At 47.0% G+C, this 16,465-nt stretch overlaps 1 protein-coding gene across 1 annotated transcript in view, besides 5 other annotated features; it reads left to right on the top strand.

Moving 5' to 3' along the window:
• JAG1 (jagged canonical Notch ligand 1) overlaps positions 1-10,722 on the top strand; it is a 36,316-nt gene extending 25,594 nt beyond the window's left edge. The window contains exons 13-26 of the mRNA NM_000214.3: positions 296-446; positions 1,303-1,467; positions 2,322-2,435; positions 2,937-3,050; positions 3,150-3,263; positions 3,427-3,543; positions 4,022-4,049; positions 4,543-4,628; positions 5,805-5,918; positions 6,514-6,623; positions 6,713-6,946; positions 7,162-7,293; positions 7,473-7,623; positions 8,451-10,722. Coding sequence (NP_000205.1) covers positions 296-446; positions 1,303-1,467; positions 2,322-2,435; positions 2,937-3,050; positions 3,150-3,263; positions 3,427-3,543; positions 4,022-4,049; positions 4,543-4,628; positions 5,805-5,918; positions 6,514-6,623; positions 6,713-6,946; positions 7,162-7,293; positions 7,473-7,623; positions 8,451-8,908 — 2,088 coding nt within the window. The 3' untranslated portion in view covers positions 8,909-10,722. The remainder of the gene's footprint in view (positions 1-295; positions 447-1,302; positions 1,468-2,321; positions 2,436-2,936; positions 3,051-3,149; positions 3,264-3,426; positions 3,544-4,021; positions 4,050-4,542; positions 4,629-5,804; positions 5,919-6,513; positions 6,624-6,712; positions 6,947-7,161; positions 7,294-7,472; positions 7,624-8,450) is intronic.
• Positions 690-739: a silencer, noted in NCBI's record as "silent region_12672". NCBI's record gives its function as "represses an Ori minimal core promoter by ATAC-STARR-seq in GM12878 lymphoblastoid cells {active_cell/tissue: GM12878}" and the evidence as "EXISTENCE:reporter gene assay evidence [ECO:0000049][PMID:35858748]".
• Positions 6,204-6,979: an enhancer, noted in NCBI's record as "H3K27ac-H3K4me1 hESC enhancer chr20:10622075-10622850 (GRCh37/hg19 assembly coordinates)". NCBI's record gives its function as "activates a minimal SCP1, AML or CMV promoter by ChIP-STARR-seq in naive H9 embryonic stem cells {active_cell/tissue: H9 hESC(naive)}" and the evidence as "EXISTENCE:reporter gene assay evidence [ECO:0000049][PMID:30033119]".
• Positions 6,980-7,755: an enhancer, noted in NCBI's record as "NANOG-H3K27ac-H3K4me1 hESC enhancer chr20:10621299-10622074 (GRCh37/hg19 assembly coordinates)". NCBI's record gives its function as "activates a minimal SCP1, AML or CMV promoter by ChIP-STARR-seq in naive H9 embryonic stem cells {active_cell/tissue: H9 hESC(naive)}" and the evidence as "EXISTENCE:reporter gene assay evidence [ECO:0000049][PMID:30033119]".
• Positions 10,083-10,879: an enhancer, noted in NCBI's record as "OCT4-NANOG-H3K27ac-H3K4me1 hESC enhancer chr20:10618175-10618971 (GRCh37/hg19 assembly coordinates)". NCBI's record gives its function as "activates a minimal SCP1, AML or CMV promoter by ChIP-STARR-seq in naive H9 embryonic stem cells {active_cell/tissue: H9 hESC(naive)}" and the evidence as "EXISTENCE:reporter gene assay evidence [ECO:0000049][PMID:30033119]".
• Positions 10,880-11,676: an enhancer, noted in NCBI's record as "OCT4-NANOG-H3K27ac-H3K4me1 hESC enhancer chr20:10617378-10618174 (GRCh37/hg19 assembly coordinates)". NCBI's record gives its function as "activates a minimal SCP1, AML or CMV promoter by ChIP-STARR-seq in naive and primed H9 embryonic stem cells {active_cell/tissue: H9 hESC(naive and primed)}" and the evidence as "EXISTENCE:reporter gene assay evidence [ECO:0000049][PMID:30033119]".

Genomic DNA, 16,465 nt, shown 5'->3' with positions numbered 1-16,465 from the left:
GACAAATGCTGGTGGAAGGAGATACTGACGAATTATTTTCTTCTTAGTGTCTTCGTCTTTGTGTTCTTTTTGGTTCCCTCCACCCCCTCTTGTGCTCCCTCTCCCACTCTGCCCCGTTGTTTCAAATACTGGACATTGGCAGTCCCTACAGCATAGAGATGTATCTTACAGGGTGTCTCCTAATAGAAACCGAAGGAACTGTCAGATTCCAGTGCCTGCTGCCCCAGAGAAGTTATCGTGACACCTTTGTTTTACTCTGATCCCTCCCCCTTTTCGCTGTTCCTGATATTTGCAGCTGGACATCGATTATTGTGAGCCTAATCCCTGCCAGAACGGTGCCCAGTGCTACAACCGTGCCAGTGACTATTTCTGCAAGTGCCCCGAGGACTATGAGGGCAAGAACTGCTCACACCTGAAAGACCACTGCCGCACGACCCCCTGTGAAGGTACCTCCCTTCTCCCGGGACCTGGCTGTCTCCAGACTTGCTCCTTTTGTCCCCACTTACTACCACTGCCCCTTGTTACACTTGAGAAGTAATGTATTGGTGAGGAGGACCTCTATAGTGAAATGATCCTGCCTGTGTAGCGGGCCGCAACACGTGGAAACAATCTATTCCGGCCTGCCAGTGGGAGAGCCGTGTCTACAAGTAGCCCAGGGGAGAGAATGTGAAATCCATTTAGCATTCCTGTTCTGGGGTGGGCTGATGTGCAACGCTGAGGCAAATGCCTGAGAACAACACTGTCAACAGAACTTCCTGCAACGGCAGACAGAGGGGGATGTTCTGTATCTGCACGGTCAGGTATGGGAGCCCCAGGCCATGTGGACTGTGACTAGTGTAACTAGAAACTGATTTTATTTCATTTTAGTTCATTTAAATGTAAATAGCCACATGTGGCCGGTGGCTGCTGTATTAGGCAGCACAACATTTAAAGCTTCTATAAGATTGTCCTTGAGCCTTGCTTAAGATCAAAAAGGAAGTAAATAAAGCAGGTCCTTTTGCCTTAGCAAGTGTTTACCAAATTGGGTAGATGTCAAAGGTAGGATGAAGGGGATCCACAAGCATGTGGGTTTTCCTGGTTGTGTGGAGGGAGAAAATGCTTTAAAACTCTTTGCCTGGAGTCTCAACTTTGCCTGTCATAATGTGATGTGGCACGTTGCCAGTATCTTGGCTTCCCTGGGGTGTGTCTCATTAGCCAGAGGGTCCCTGTCTCCAGGAAAGTGGGCTTGGCCCAGGCCCTTGGCTTAGGAATGCCGCATCTGTGGGTGCATGGCTGTGATCTGATCCCAAGCCTATCTTCTAGTGATTGACAGCTGCACAGTGGCCATGGCTTCCAACGACACACCTGAAGGGGTGCGGTATATTTCCTCCAACGTCTGTGGTCCTCACGGGAAGTGCAAGAGTCAGTCGGGAGGCAAATTCACCTGTGACTGTAACAAAGGCTTCACGGGAACATACTGCCATGAAAGTAAGACTCCCTCATCCGGGAATGGACCAGTGCTCCCCAGCCTGCCCCTGCCCCTGCCTCTGCCCCTGGCCCACCCTGGGATCATTGGTGTTGAAAGTTTTTTTTTTTTTTTTGAGACCGAATTTCGCTGTTGTTGCCCAGGCTAGAGTGCAGTGGCACGATCTCGGCTCACCACAACCTCGGCCTCCCAGGTTCAAGCGATTCTCCTGCCTGCCTCAGCCTTCCTGAGTAGCTGGGATTACAGGCATGCGCACCACGCCCACCACGCCCAGCTAATTTTGTATTTTTAGTAGAGATGGGGTTTCCCCATGTTGGTCAGGCTGGTCTCGAACTCCCAGCCTCAGATGATCCACCCCCCGACCCCCAACTTGGCCTCCCAAAGTGCTGGGATTACAGGTGTGAGCCACCATGCCCAGCAGTGTTGAAATTGTTTTAATCAGAAACAGTAAGGCTGGGGAGACTGGTTGAGACTTATCCTTACATCTGGGATCTAAGACTGAGGTCGTGTTCAATTTACCAGATCACTCTGCCTCGGAGCCTCCATATCTATGTTGGAACATTCTGGAATGTTGCTAGGTTGGGTGATTCCTCTTTTCTGTAGGAGTTTCTTCCCCACTTTCACCTAGTACCGGTGACTAAATGCCCATGTGAGGGCATTAAGTGGGTAAGGCACTCTCTGGAAGCTTCTGCTTGATAAGCCGCCTGTCTAATTTGAGAAACAGCCCTGATGGAGGGTAGCAGGTGGAGGTGCCAGGTGCATTGTGTCAGGAGGGAGCCATGAAAACTGCTGAACAGTGCTTGTCTATGGCTTCACAAGTCCTTCAGTTCTTTTTTTGCTTTACTTTGTTTCATAGATATTAATGACTGTGAGAGCAACCCTTGTAGAAACGGTGGCACTTGCATCGATGGTGTCAACTCCTACAAGTGCATCTGTAGTGACGGCTGGGAGGGGGCCTACTGTGAAACCAGTGAGTCTGCCACTCTTTGGGGAGCTCTGGGATGTATGGGTCATGTTGGAGGGATCCCACTTCAACGTGGGAAAACTTTCTTTGTACTGGAAATCTCTGGAAGCAAGACCGCAGTGATTTCTGCACTGGGACAGTATCACTTGTGTCTCATTTGCATTTATGAGTCCTGATGATAGCTTATGGGGAGGAGCTTCTGCTGAGGACCTATAGAATTAGACTGTGTAATAAATATTCCTGCTTGCAAGGAAAGTCATATTTCTACTTTCATTTCCATGGGACTTCCAGAGGCCCACCCCACATCTTGCCTAACTTGTGGCATTCAAAGTAACCCAGTTGGGAGCTCCTTTATTCCTGGAAAAGCCTGATTGTGTTAAAGTACTACGACTGTGGCTGTTCTCAGAATAGGATGTTGGATGTAAGCAGTAGGAAAGGCTTGGCTCTCGCCTGTCGTGAATGGTCCTGGATCTCGTCTTCAGCCGATTGTCTCCCCTTTGATTCTAGATATTAATGACTGCAGCCAGAACCCCTGCCACAATGGGGGCACGTGTCGCGACCTGGTCAATGACTTCTACTGTGACTGTAAAAATGGGTGGAAAGGAAAGACCTGCCACTCACGTAAGTGGTAGTTGGCCTTGGATGCTATCTCTGGGACCCTTCCCTCTGTCTTCTGTGGGAGGGGGCCACTGGGACTCACACTGAAATATTTTCCTCCAGGTGACAGTCAGTGTGATGAGGCCACGTGCAACAACGGTGGCACCTGCTATGATGAGGGGGATGCTTTTAAGTGCATGTGTCCTGGCGGCTGGGAAGGAACAACCTGTAACATAGGTAACTTTATGCCCCACGTGGGATCTGCAGTGGGCATGGCCACCTGGGCGTGTCTGCTGGTTGGCCCCTGGAGCTTATGATATTTCTCTGGGCCTGGTTCTTGCCCCTCCAGACTGTTTCTGGATACTCAGGGAGGGTGGTCGTGTCTGCTCTTCTTTTATAGCCCGAAACAGTAGCTGCCTGCCCAACCCCTGCCATAATGGGGGCACATGTGTGGTCAACGGCGAGTCCTTTACGTGCGTCTGCAAGGAAGGCTGGGAGGGGCCCATCTGTGCTCAGAGTGAGTGTCCTCCCCCCTTGAACTCTCCCAGGGCTGTCGGAGCAGATCCTGACACCCTTGGGGACTTGCAATGGAAACCAGAAGCAGAGCTGTTTGATGTCTGCTTTTGTATCACCTGGGTCTGCATTAATGACTTGATGGGATACAGCCCTGACCTGGGCATGAGAAAGTCGCCAATAAGATAAGTGGAGACAGATGGCGTCTCAGTTCCCAGCTCTGGGTCTGACCAGCAGCCTGTCTCCTTCCATTCTCACCCCCACCCCTATCCCCTACCAGGGCCTCTTCCTGTGTACATGTGTCCCACAGCAAATGAAACTAAGTGTGGTGCGGGCCTGGTTCCAATTTAGCAAAGGTATTTTGCTGGTGTTAACTACGACTTTATCATTTGGGTATTAGGAAAATAAGTGGTGGTTTTACTTAGGGCTAAGACCGCTTTCCCTGTTGAAGTCCTCACTATTAAGTTGTCTTTTCTTTGCAGATACCAATGACTGCAGCCCTCATCCCTGGTAAGTGTGACATCCTTTTAAGCCAGCACTCATCCACTATCGTGTGTGTGTGTGTGTGTGTGTGTGTGTGTGTGTGTGTGAGAATCACCCAGGGATTGTGTTTAAAATGCAAGTTCTGAGTCAGGAGGTCTGGGGTGGGGCCTCAGACTGCTTTTCTAACAAGCTCCCAGGTGAAGCGATCCTGCTGCCCCATGGACCACACTTTAATTAGCCAGGTTGTGTCCTCATTTAGAGCAGTGATTTTTCAACCTTGGCTGCACACCAGAATCACCTGGGAGCTTTTAAAAATCCCGCTGCCTGGGCTGCAACCAAGACCTGTGAAATTAGACTTTCTGGGGGTGGGACCCAGGCATCAGTATTCTTTTAAAATTCCCCAGGCAACGGCCATGGGGTGAGAGCCACTGACTGTAACTGGTGTGGTGACATGTGAGTGATTGGCAGCCAGAGTAATGGACTGGGAGGTTGGTAACCAAGGTGGTCTTTGCTTTCTTAGTTACAACAGCGGCACCTGTGTGGATGGAGACAACTGGTACCGGTGCGAATGTGCCCCGGGTTTTGCTGGGCCCGACTGCAGAATAAGTAAGGACTGTCTCCGTCTGGTTTTCCCAATGGCTTTACCGCTTCATTCCATGCCTCACCCCAAGACTTTCATCTTTAAAAACAAAGCCACCATTCCCTTTAAGTAGCTCTCATAGAGCAAAGGATCTCTCTCCTCCAGCTGGGATTAAGATATGCCAGGCTGGATCCTCCCAGGTACCTGCTGGTAGTTCCCTGGGTGGTGTAGCCCTCCTTGTTCTTGGGGAGAGAGTGCCAGTCACAGAATCTGATGATTAATCTACAGTGGGGTCCTGAAGAAAGTATGTGCATTTCCCCATGACTAACATGAAATTATGGGCAAGCAGATGTTAACCACAGCTACACTGGTATAGGATAAAGCTAATACAAACGGAAGGGAGGACGACTGTGGCTTCCAGAGGCTTGTCTGTGCTGGGTCTGATCAGGCCCTGGAGAAATGACTAAAACAGGAAAATAGGGGCAGGCAACGCAGTTTTTCAAGAGGCTTAAAGCATATTATTTTGAGCCTTTTCTCTACTTTTTTACAAGCCCTTTCTCTTACAGAACAAAAAAGGTGCTAGAGTAGTTATGGTTTGATTCTTGTACCCAAATTGTCTGAAATTTTACTGGTGCTTGAAATCCAAGTCTGGGATTAACTAGTCTTCAGCACTAGATGGGGGCAGGTTGTATCTGTTTCATGTTTCTAAATAAACAGTTGGCAAACTGTGGCCCAGGGGCCGTATCCAGCCCACTGTCTGTTTTTATAAATACAGTTTTCTTGGCACACAGCCACACATTCATTTATGTATTGTCTATGGCTACTTTCATGATACCACAAGAGTTGGATAGTTGTGACAGAGACTATATACCCCACAAAGCCTAAGATGTTTACTGTCTGACCCCTTCCAGGAAACTTTGCCAGGCTTGCTGTAAATTGCACTGTCAAAGGAATCAAATTAAAAATTGCTGCCTCCCAAAATGGTTCTCCACTGTTAGAACTCAGGATGGTGGTGGTCTTTGGGAGCCAGTGATTGGAGGTTTTTGCAATAGATCTGTTTCTTCTTTTGGATGCTGCTTACCTGAGTGAAAATTCATCAAGCTTATGATGATATGCTTTTCTTGTATGTTATGTCAATAAAAACAATCTCAAAACATTGCCACACACCATCAGTCCCTAAACTTGAACTCCATTTCTCCTAGACATCAATGAATGCCAGTCTTCACCTTGTGCCTTTGGAGCGACCTGTGTGGATGAGATCAATGGCTACCGGTGTGTCTGCCCTCCAGGGCACAGTGGTGCCAAGTGCCAGGAAGGTATGTGTGCCAGGCTTCAGCTGCCCATGGGTCTTCTGGGGTGAGCGAGCTTTGCAGTCACCATTTGACTTTTCACAAATAAGCCACTGTGCTCAGGGAAGGGAACACACAGTGGGACTACAAGGGAAAGGGAACGTGAAGAGTCTTCCCCAAAACAGGTAGCTGTTGTTTTTGGTCAGCTGTTGCCACAAAACTGTGTACCAAACCATCCCAAACTGCTGTGGCTTGCAGCAAGCATTATTTTTATTGCTCATGATATGCAGCATGGGCAGAGAGATTGCGCTGTGGGTTGGGTTCAGTTCGACCAGTGGCTGTGTCTGGGGCATATTCCTTTCATCGCCAGTGGGTAGGTGTGCAAGAGGCTAGTCAAAGGCTCTGCTCACATCACATCTGCCAATGTTACATTGGCCAGAGCAAGTCTTGTGGCCAAGCGCAGAGCCAGCAAAGGCAGGAAGTACACATGCTGTTACTGTGGGAAGAATGATCTTAACATGGCAAAGGGCACAGGCATAACCATTTCATAACAGGGACCAAAGAATTGAACCCCGATCCGGTTCACAGAAAAATAAACTGCTCACCCGTCTCCACCTGTCAGTTTCAGGGAGACCTTGCATCACCATGGGGAGTGTGATACCAGATGGGGCCAAATGGGATGATGACTGTAATACCTGCCAGTGCCTGAATGGACGGATCGCCTGCTCAAAGGTAGGACATGATGGCTGCCGCAGTTCACCTGTGTTCTGGAATCAGGGATGAGCATGCCTGCTAAGCTGCCAGCTTCTGTTTTTCTCCAGGTCTGGTGTGGCCCTCGACCTTGCCTGCTCCACAAAGGGCACAGCGAGTGCCCCAGCGGGCAGAGCTGCATCCCCATCCTGGACGACCAGTGCTTCGTCCACCCCTGCACTGGTGTGGGCGAGTGTCGGTCTTCCAGTCTCCAGCCGGTGAAGACAAAGTGCACCTCTGACTCCTATTACCAGGATAACTGTGCGAACATCACATTTACCTTTAACAAGGAGATGATGTCACCAGTATGTAACAACCTTTGTTTTTTTTTTGAATGGTGGATGTCTGCTTGCTTGCTTTAAAGGAGGAATGCCATGAGCTAGGATCTACTTCTCCCTAGCTTACATTCCTGTTTTATAATAAAGTAAGCTTGAACTTAGCCAGCCTCAAAGAGAACATCTCAGCCTTTTGTTCTTCCTCTCAATCTTACACGTGTGTGGGTTTTTAAAAATCGTTTTAGGGTCTTACTACGGAGCACATTTGCAGTGAATTGAGGAATTTGAATATTTTGAAGAATGTTTCCGCTGAATATTCAATCTACATCGCTTGCGAGCCTTCCCCTTCAGCGAACAATGAAATACATGTGGCCATTGTAAGTATAAGACCCATTCACACCTCATTATTCGATGGCAAGGCAGTTCGGTTAACCAGTGTCTGAATGGAGCAAATTCACTGACAAAAAGCTTTGCAGACACAGATTGTCGAGTAATTTTGAAGAAAGGCTGCTTTGAGTATTCCTCTGACTCTCAAGTCTGACAATTGTTTTTCCAGTCTGCTGAAGATATACGGGATGATGGGAACCCGATCAAGGAAATCACTGACAAAATAATCGATCTTGTTAGTAAACGTGATGGAAACAGCTCGCTGATTGCTGCCGTTGCAGAAGTAAGAGTTCAGAGGCGGCCTCTGAAGAACAGAACAGGTAGGTGTCAAGTGGGACTAGTTTGTGTGATGATAGTAGATGATCTCATTATACTATTCAATAAAGCCATCAGGTCGAGGGATTATCTGGCAGTGCCCTACCCTCGCAGGAGCTCCCAATTTAACTGAGAACTGAGGGCAGCCTACTTTACTAAGGTCACATGGCCCATGGGAACAGAGGTCTGCCTCATATTTTCCTTCCCAACACACTATGCAACGTTCCCTGCAGAACAGGTATTGTGCTAGATCCGTGACAAAGCCCTAGGACACTGCTTGTCCTTTGTCCTTGAGTTTGAAGCTGTACAAAGCCTGACTTGGCATTTTGGTGTCCTGGGACAGCCTAGCCACTGCTGAGCTCTGTGAGGCTCGATGGCCCCGCAGGGGTGTCCAGGCTTCCCTCCTGAGGATCTCGAGCACCGTTTCAGCCAAGGGAGAGATTGGGCATGGAGCCATGGCACGTTTGAGCTGTCTGTGCTAATTTGAATCGGATTTCTAGTTCTGAAAACCAACTCCTGTACTGAGCTGCCTCAGTAGCCAGACTTAACAAGACACTGCTCTCCCCATGCGAAGTCAAAGAGCCTGTAGGAGCTGCCGCTCCACCCAGTCTCTCCAGGGATAAGAGTATCAAGGTCTACAGGGGCCTGATCCCAGCATTTGCTTATCAAGTTGTGAAGTGACCATATGCAATGATGAAAAGGGACTTGTCCCTGTGGCCCCCCTCTTAGGGATAAAGGGCAGGAGAACCACTGTTGGTATTCTTTTGTTCCTGCGATGATGCTTTTTTCTTTCTTTCTTGGAGAGTTAATTGGTTTTGTGCCTGCCTTACAGATTTCCTTGTTCCCTTGCTGAGCTCTGTCTTAACTGTGGCTTGGATCTGTTGCTTGGTGACGGCCTTCTACTGGTGCCTGCGGAAGCGGCGGAAGCCGGGCAGCCACACACACTCAGCCTCTGAGGACAACACCACCAACAACGTGCGGGAGCAGCTGAACCAGATCAAAAACCCCATTGAGAAACATGGGGCCAACACGGTCCCCATCAAGGATTATGAGAACAAGAACTCCAAAATGTCTAAAATAAGGACACACAATTCTGAAGTAGAAGAGGACGACATGGACAAACACCAGCAGAAAGCCCGGTTTGCCAAGCAGCCGGCGTACACGCTGGTAGACAGAGAAGAGAAGCCCCCCAACGGCACGCCGACAAAACACCCAAACTGGACAAACAAACAGGACAACAGAGACTTGGAAAGTGCCCAGAGCTTAAACCGAATGGAGTACATCGTATAGCAGACCGCGGGCACTGCCGCCGCTAGGTAGAGTCTGAGGGCTTGTAGTTCTTTAAACTGTCGTGTCATACTCGAGTCTGAGGCCGTTGCTGACTTAGAATCCCTGTGTTAATTTAAGTTTTGACAAGCTGGCTTACACTGGCAATGGTAGTTTCTGTGGTTGGCTGGGAAATCGAGTGCCGCATCTCACAGCTATGCAAAAAGCTAGTCAACAGTACCCTGGTTGTGTGTCCCCTTGCAGCCGACACGGTCTCGGATCAGGCTCCCAGGAGCCTGCCCAGCCCCCTGGTCTTTGAGCTCCCACTTCTGCCAGATGTCCTAATGGTGATGCAGTCTTAGATCATAGTTTTATTTATATTTATTGACTCTTGAGTTGTTTTTGTATATTGGTTTTATGATGACGTACAAGTAGTTCTGTATTTGAAAGTGCCTTTGCAGCTCAGAACCACAGCAACGATCACAAATGACTTTATTATTTATTTTTTTTAATTGTATTTTTGTTGTTGGGGGAGGGGAGACTTTGATGTCAGCAGTTGCTGGTAAAATGAAGAATTTAAAGAAAAAAATGTCAAAAGTAGAACTTTGTATAGTTATGTAAATAATTCTTTTTTATTAATCACTGTGTATATTTGATTTATTAACTTAATAATCAAGAGCCTTAAAACATCATTCCTTTTTATTTATATGTATGTGTTTAGAATTGAAGGTTTTTGATAGCATTGTAAGCGTATGGCTTTATTTTTTTGAACTCTTCTCATTACTTGTTGCCTATAAGCCAAAATTAAGGTGTTTGAAAATAGTTTATTTTAAAACAATAGGATGGGCTTCTGTGCCCAGAATACTGATGGAATTTTTTTGTACGACGTCAGATGTTTAAAACACCTTCTATAGCATCACTTAAAACACGTTTTAAGGACTGACTGAGGCAGTTTGAGGATTAGTTTAGAACAGGTTTTTTTGTTTGTTTGTTTTTTGTTTTTCTGCTTTAGACTTGAAAAGAGACAGGCAGGTGATCTGCTGCAGAGCAGTAAGGGAACAAGTTGAGCTATGACTTAACATAGCCAAAATGTGAGTGGTTGAATATGATTAAAAATATCAAATTAATTGTGTGAACTTGGAAGCACACCAATCTTACTTTGTAAATTCTGATTTCTTTTCACCATTCGTACATAATACTGAACCACTTGTAGATTTGATTTTTTTTTTTAATCTACTGCATTTAGGGAGTATTCTAATAAGCTAGTTGAATACTTGAACCATAAAATGTCCAGTAAGATCACTGTTTAGATTTGCCATAGAGTACACTGCCTGCCTTAAGTGAGGAAATCAAAGTGCTATTACGAAGTTCAAGATCAAAAAGGCTTATAAAACAGAGTAATCTTGTTGGTTCACCATTGAGACCGTGAAGATACTTTGTATTGTCCTATTAGTGTTATATGAACATACAAATGCATCTTTGATGTGTTGTTCTTGGCAATAAATTTTGAAAAGTAATATTTATTAAATTTTTTTGTATGAAAACATGGAACAGTGTGGCCTCTTCTGAGCTTACGTAGTTCTACCGGCTTTGCCATGTGCTTCTGCCACCCTGCTGAGTCTGTTCTGGTAATCGGGGTATAATAGGCTCTGCCTGACAGAGGGATGGAGGAAGAACTGAAAGGCTTTTCAACCACAAAACTCATCTGGAGTTCTCAAAGACCTGGGGCTGCTGTGAAGCTGGAACTGCGGGAGCCCCATCTAGGGGAGCCTTGATTCCCTTGTTATTCAACAGCAAGTGTGAATACTGCTTGAATAAACACCACTGGATTAATGGCCTGTAGTGTCGAGGTGAATTGTTTGTGAGCAATCAGGGGAACTGGCCACAGCACTGAAAGGGTTTTAAAGGGTTTGGAATTGGTGTTGGGAAACGAGCAGGGAGATTTAATGTCTGCCTCTTTTTTTTCCCTGGCTACTTAGATTCATATTAATGTCCTGTTGTAAGGGTGTGGTCTGAAATGACTCTTGTGCACATTTACCCATGGGGTGGTTTCCTCACGGCACAGGAGGTGGTAGTTGCAAGCTTCTGGTGTTCGGGCTCATCACTCATCACCTTGTTCCCAGGGAATGAGTGTTCTGGCCTCACCATGCAGCCTTGGAGTGCTGGTGTTCTGGTCTTCTGTGAGGTTCCAGAGTTGGGCTGTCCCCACCTGTCACGGGCAGGAGAACTCTGGTTCTCTCACTTGTGGCTGGTGGAGGCCCTGCCCCCGCATCGCGTGGTGGGGTGTGGGAGAAGCTTTGCCTCTGGCACCTCTGCGGAAGGAATAAGCTGTGGTAACAAGCACATGGACAGCTTCCAGCAGCCGTGCAGAGTCACCAGGACTCTGCTTCTGGCTAGGAAAGCCAAAGCTCACCCTTCTCAGAGCCATCCCCCAGCACTTCAACATTCAGGCCTGTCCACCCACGTCCGGTTTTCATACAACTGGCACAGCAGACTTTGAATGGAGGAAAAGCTGATGGGGATGTTTTTCTTTGTTCTCGGGGAAACATTTTTTCTTCTAGGCTTGGAGTTGTGCTAAGGAACATCTTAAGAATGAAAGATGAGCTTTAAGTGTCCTGGGATCCTTGTGCATGAGCAGAGGCCATCGAGGGATTTGGGATTGTGACAACCCTAAGAGGGCCAACACTGTTTTGGCTCATTGGGGAGGTGGCCTGAAGGACCCGGACAGCGAAGAGTTGAGGTTTCCATGACATCTCCCTGCCCTAGCGTAGCTCCGCTTTCTCACCAATGTCTGCCAGTAGACAGCTGGGTTTCCACAAGGTGGGGTCAAAGGGAGGGAGAAATCTAGATCCTACTAGCCAGGAGACAGTCATTTCGCAGCAGTGGAGTCAAACACTATCCTGAAGCAAAACCTTGTTCTGGTGGTTTGTAAACTTGGATTCTGCAGGACCCCAGAATTCCTTGGGTAGCTGCCAGATGCTTTTGTGCCAAGAAAAAAAAAAAAAAAAGTTGAATGAGTCTCTGCAATTCTTTATTCCAGGAGGGAAGGGATCTTGGGATTCATGGGTGTTGTCTTAACTCACCTTCTGTCTGGGACACCCCTGGTATTGGGAGGGCATAGATCAGCCTCCTCTGGATGTGGCTCAGTGCCAGGACTTTAATTGTGAAGGGTGGATTTTCCCCTTCCTTCAGGAAGAAGGAAGCAGGCAATGGTGCTCTGGTTATCCTGGGGTTAGGAAAGTTGAGAGGAAGGGACTCAGTGCCTTTACCATTCATTCCCCAGGAACGCCCTGGGCTCTCTTTAAAGGGGCCCTGGAAGAAAAAATTTTCAGTCCAGAAACTTGGCTAACTAGAACTCTAGCATTAGAATATCCCATGAAACTCCAGGAAAGAACACTTAAAGCTGGTGTTTTTTTAGGATGGGAAGCTCTGTCCTGAGATTCTATACTTCCATGATGTAGAATTTGAATAGAAAGTGGAGGGGGAGGATGTATCTTAATTGACTAAAAGCCAAAGGAGACTCAGTGGTGATTTGCGAGAGGGTTTACAGTTTGAAGATGCAGATTTCCAGGACTGGTCCATGACCCTATTAGACCAGATGCACCAGAAGTGGAGCCTGGGAATTTGAATTTTTGACAAGCTCGCTCTTCCTCCCCGACTCATGCACTCTAAAAATTGGGAGCAACTCTGCTAAAGTGCTACAGTACCAGCTCTTAACTAATTATAATGTTTTTCTTCCTTGTTAAACTGAATTAAATAGCCTGGAAGCCAGTTTGTTGCTAAATTGCCACCTGACATCATTTTTAAGTAAAATGATTACACCGCCCCTTGAGCAAGATGTGGTCTAAGTGCTTCATGCCTATTAGCTGATCTGAGGGGTCAGTGAGTCAAAATGAACTTATTCTGTAATATTTCTTAGGTAGCAAGGAGCAAAATGGGCCAGAGCGTGGGTTTCCCACCTTTCCAAATGGCTTACACCTGTCTGCTCCAAAGTGAGCAAAGGTGCAGCAAAAAACCAGTTGCCTTTAAAGGAAAAAAAAAGTTCTACAGGCCTTTCGGGCTTTGAAACTTGGGCTGAGCAATGCTCCACCATTTCCGTTTCGACTGTGGGTCTCTTTCTTGCCTCTACTGGGAATGAGAAACAGGAGTTCAGAGGTTCCTGGTCTGGGAAGACATACAACAAGCACATGGGTTATGGGAAGCCTCCTCCTGCTAATGTGTATTTATACTTTGTAAGCTCTGATTCATCCAAGCATTGGAACAGAAATCTGCTTCCTGAGGTTCTGTTTTTAAATAGATAGTTTGCAAAAACAACAATTATTTTTCTTAACATTTTTTTTCCACCCCACAAGCAGCTAAACATCCCAGCTCAGGGTATGTCAGTCTCCAGCAATGCCAACAAACAGCTTGGTTATCTGAGCTAGAAGGGTGCCCTGAGGCAGTTCTCTACAGTTCTGGCCCCAGAAGTCTTAAAAACAAAGTTTAGAAACCATTAGGGCAATCTTGTTGCATCACTTCAAATCCACGAGGTATTTCGGGGTCTATTAAAAATAACGAATTTCCGTTTGCGAACCATTGCCTTCCAATGGCTGTTAAAATAAAACTAAGAGCAGGTTGGGGGGAGTGATGCTTGTAGGGCCGCCGTGGTATCGCTGCCTGGCAGCCGAGGAGCCTAAACCCTGCCCGGCAGCCTCTGAGATCATGTCAAAAGGGTGCGGCTCTCTTGCTTTGGACATATATTCTACCTGTATTACTTGCTCTTGCATGCTGGGCACAACCTTCCTGGCTTAGAGTGTGTTTCTTTCAAGTCCAAGACAGCTTTTACAAGTCTCAAATTATGTATCATTATGCCTGGGTCCAGTATTAACCTGTGATACGCAAGTCAGGAAAATTAACCTGGAGAATAAAGGCTCTTAAATCCAGTAAGAACCTTGAATTGAGGTCTGCCTGCTGCCTTTTCCAACCCACCCGCACTGCAAATATCCACACCAGGGCACCCAAGGGTTGAGTTATCCAGAAAGCAAACGCAGATGCCAGCAACATGAAAGTAACAGCTTTGTTTTAAAGAGAAGCTCTCTTGGCAGGGCTGGTGGTGCTCATCGGTGATCCTCGGGGGAAATACAAGTTTGCAGCTGGCTTCCTAATCACTACTCAGTCAACCAAACAGGTTCGCCCCCTCTGTTCTGCACCTGAAGAGTGAAAAGCTGTTTTAGTTCACCCTTGCTGAGATATGTGCAGTTGAAATACCTTTATCATAGATGTTACATGTGAAACACCTTTATCACAGGATGTTAATGCAATCAAGGACCTTATCCATCAAAGGATCCAACCCCCACTACTTTCCCAGAAGAGGAAACTGAGGCCCAGAGAGGTTCAAGGACTTGTCTGAAGTTATACAGAGTTAGCAATAGCCAGAACTAGAACTCTGGGCTCCTGCTTCTTGGGCTGCTGTGTTTTCTGCCTCTTCTGGGAATTTGCGAGGTTTATGCCGGCATCCTGCCCTTAGTGTGATTTTAAAAGGTAAAACCTTGGGAGATCAGCACTTCACAAAAATGGATGCAAAGTCTCAAGGGAGGTCACAGGAAGCGACTGCTACGACAGTGTCGCCAATCTGAACTGGTTCTGCCTAGAAAGTGACATCTGTATAAACCCAGGAGCAATAGGTGTTTTCTGCATCAAAGGAAGATTAAGCCCTGCTCCTTTGTAGGCTGTTCCTTTGTTCTTGGGAAGTTTCTGATTTCCCTTTTAGTTTTTGCTTCATAGAATTAAAATGAGTTGCAGGAAAAGAGGTTCAGAAAGGAAATCAACAGCCTCACTAGGTCTTATTGCTGCCTGTGTGTGTGCACGCATATGCACACATGCACATTTTACAGGTGTTTTCAGAACCACACTGCTGCTCACCGGGGCTGAGATGCAGGTGCCAGGGTCCTCGCCAGTGTCAGGTGATTGCAATTATCATTAGGCCTCATCCCACGTTCTCTAACCACTCCCACTCCCCCTGGCAGCTTCCTTCCAGGTTATCACCACAAAAACACCTGAGCATTTAACAGGACTAAAATCCAGATCGCTTGAATGTGATGAAGTTCGCCACGTCCAGTGTGCGGTTGGGCCAGTTCAGACACACCTGAGAGTTCCTGGAACTGCCTGTGGGCAGCTCTGCTTCCTCCACCTGACATCCCCAAAAGGCTACTCCTCCACAACCTGTTTGTCGTGTCAGGGTAGGCCAGAAGTACATTCTATGTAGAAGTTTCCTCTGCGCCCAGGCACCCACACTGAGTGACTTGGAAAAACCCCATCCCCAAGACAGAAACATAAACCCTCCAAGTTCAGGACATGAACAATCAGATACCCTCAGGGGCTCTCTCTGGCTTTGCAGTGATGTTACTTTAGAAGAATTTTTAAAGAATTCAAGGCATAAAGCAGAAAGGAAGAGCGCAAACGTGACATGTCCTACAGGTTTGCAACAAACTAAGAAAAAAGTGCCTCTAGTAAAGTAAAGGGAGTGGGAAGGGGCCGGGAGGGACCACAATCTCTGGCTTTCTCCACCTCCACGCCCTGTCATTTCCGTGCTTCCTGTGAGCTCTCAGTCGGACAGTGTTGGCTGCAGTGCAGTTACAAAAGAGGTCCTGAACATCTCCTGCAGAGCATTCAGCCTCCACGTGGGCCTGACCCTTCCTTCACTGGACTGTTACTTTCACCCTCTTGGTGTGCAAAGCCAGGCTGTGTGCTTAGTGGTCAAGAGCATGCATTCTGGAGTGAAACTTCTTTGATTCCAACTGCAGCTCTTCCTTCCAGCTCCTGGTTTGAAATTTTCCACCTGTGTGCTCTAACAACACAGTTTCTGGGCTTTGAGGTTTGCCAGACCCAGATTCTAGGCACTGCCATTTACTAACTTGGGAAAGTTTCCAAAATTCTTTGTGCCTCAGTTTCCTCATCTGTCATGGTGACAATAAATGTGTGCCACTATAGTTAATATTCATGAAAAGGGCTACAGGTAAAGGAAAGAACACTGCTTTCAGTATTTGCTCTAAGTAACCATTAAAAGATTAAGGAATTCAGCTAGATTCCAACTGACAGTCTACTTTCTCACCGTTACACCATTAAACTGGGCCTGTCAGAGAAGAGCTAAGTGCTGTTGGATCTGGTCGTAGGCAGGACTCCACGATGGCTCCCAAAGCTCCCTGGTCCCTGGTTATTCAATCAAACGCTAATCCTGGTACTGCTGTGAAGGGATTTTGCAGATGTCATTAAAGTCTCAAATCTGTTAGCCTTCAAATGTAGATTATCCAGGTAGGGCTGACCTAATTACAGGAGCTTTTTAAAAGCAGAGAGTTTTCTCTGGCTAGTCACAGAAGGAGAAGTCAAAGAGATTCAAAGCATGAAAGTGATTCAATGCCAAGGTTTCTCCATTAATGAAATGGACGAGGTCATGTGGCAAGGACCCGCGAAATGGCTTGTAGGAAGTCCCCTGCCAACAGCCAGCGGGACAATGCGGATCTTAGTCCTACAAATGTAAGGAACTGAATTCTGCCAACAAGGGAGCTTGGAAGTGGACCTTTCCCTGGTTGAGCATCCAGATGA

Source organism: Homo sapiens, chromosome 20 (assembly GCF_000001405.40).
Source record: "Homo sapiens chromosome 20, GRCh38.p14 Primary Assembly".
NCBI classification, from domain to species: domain Eukaryota; kingdom Metazoa; phylum Chordata; class Mammalia; order Primates; family Hominidae; genus Homo; species Homo sapiens.
The sequence above is the reverse complement of the archived record's forward strand: the minus strand, read 5'-3'. Positions and strand labels throughout refer to the sequence as shown.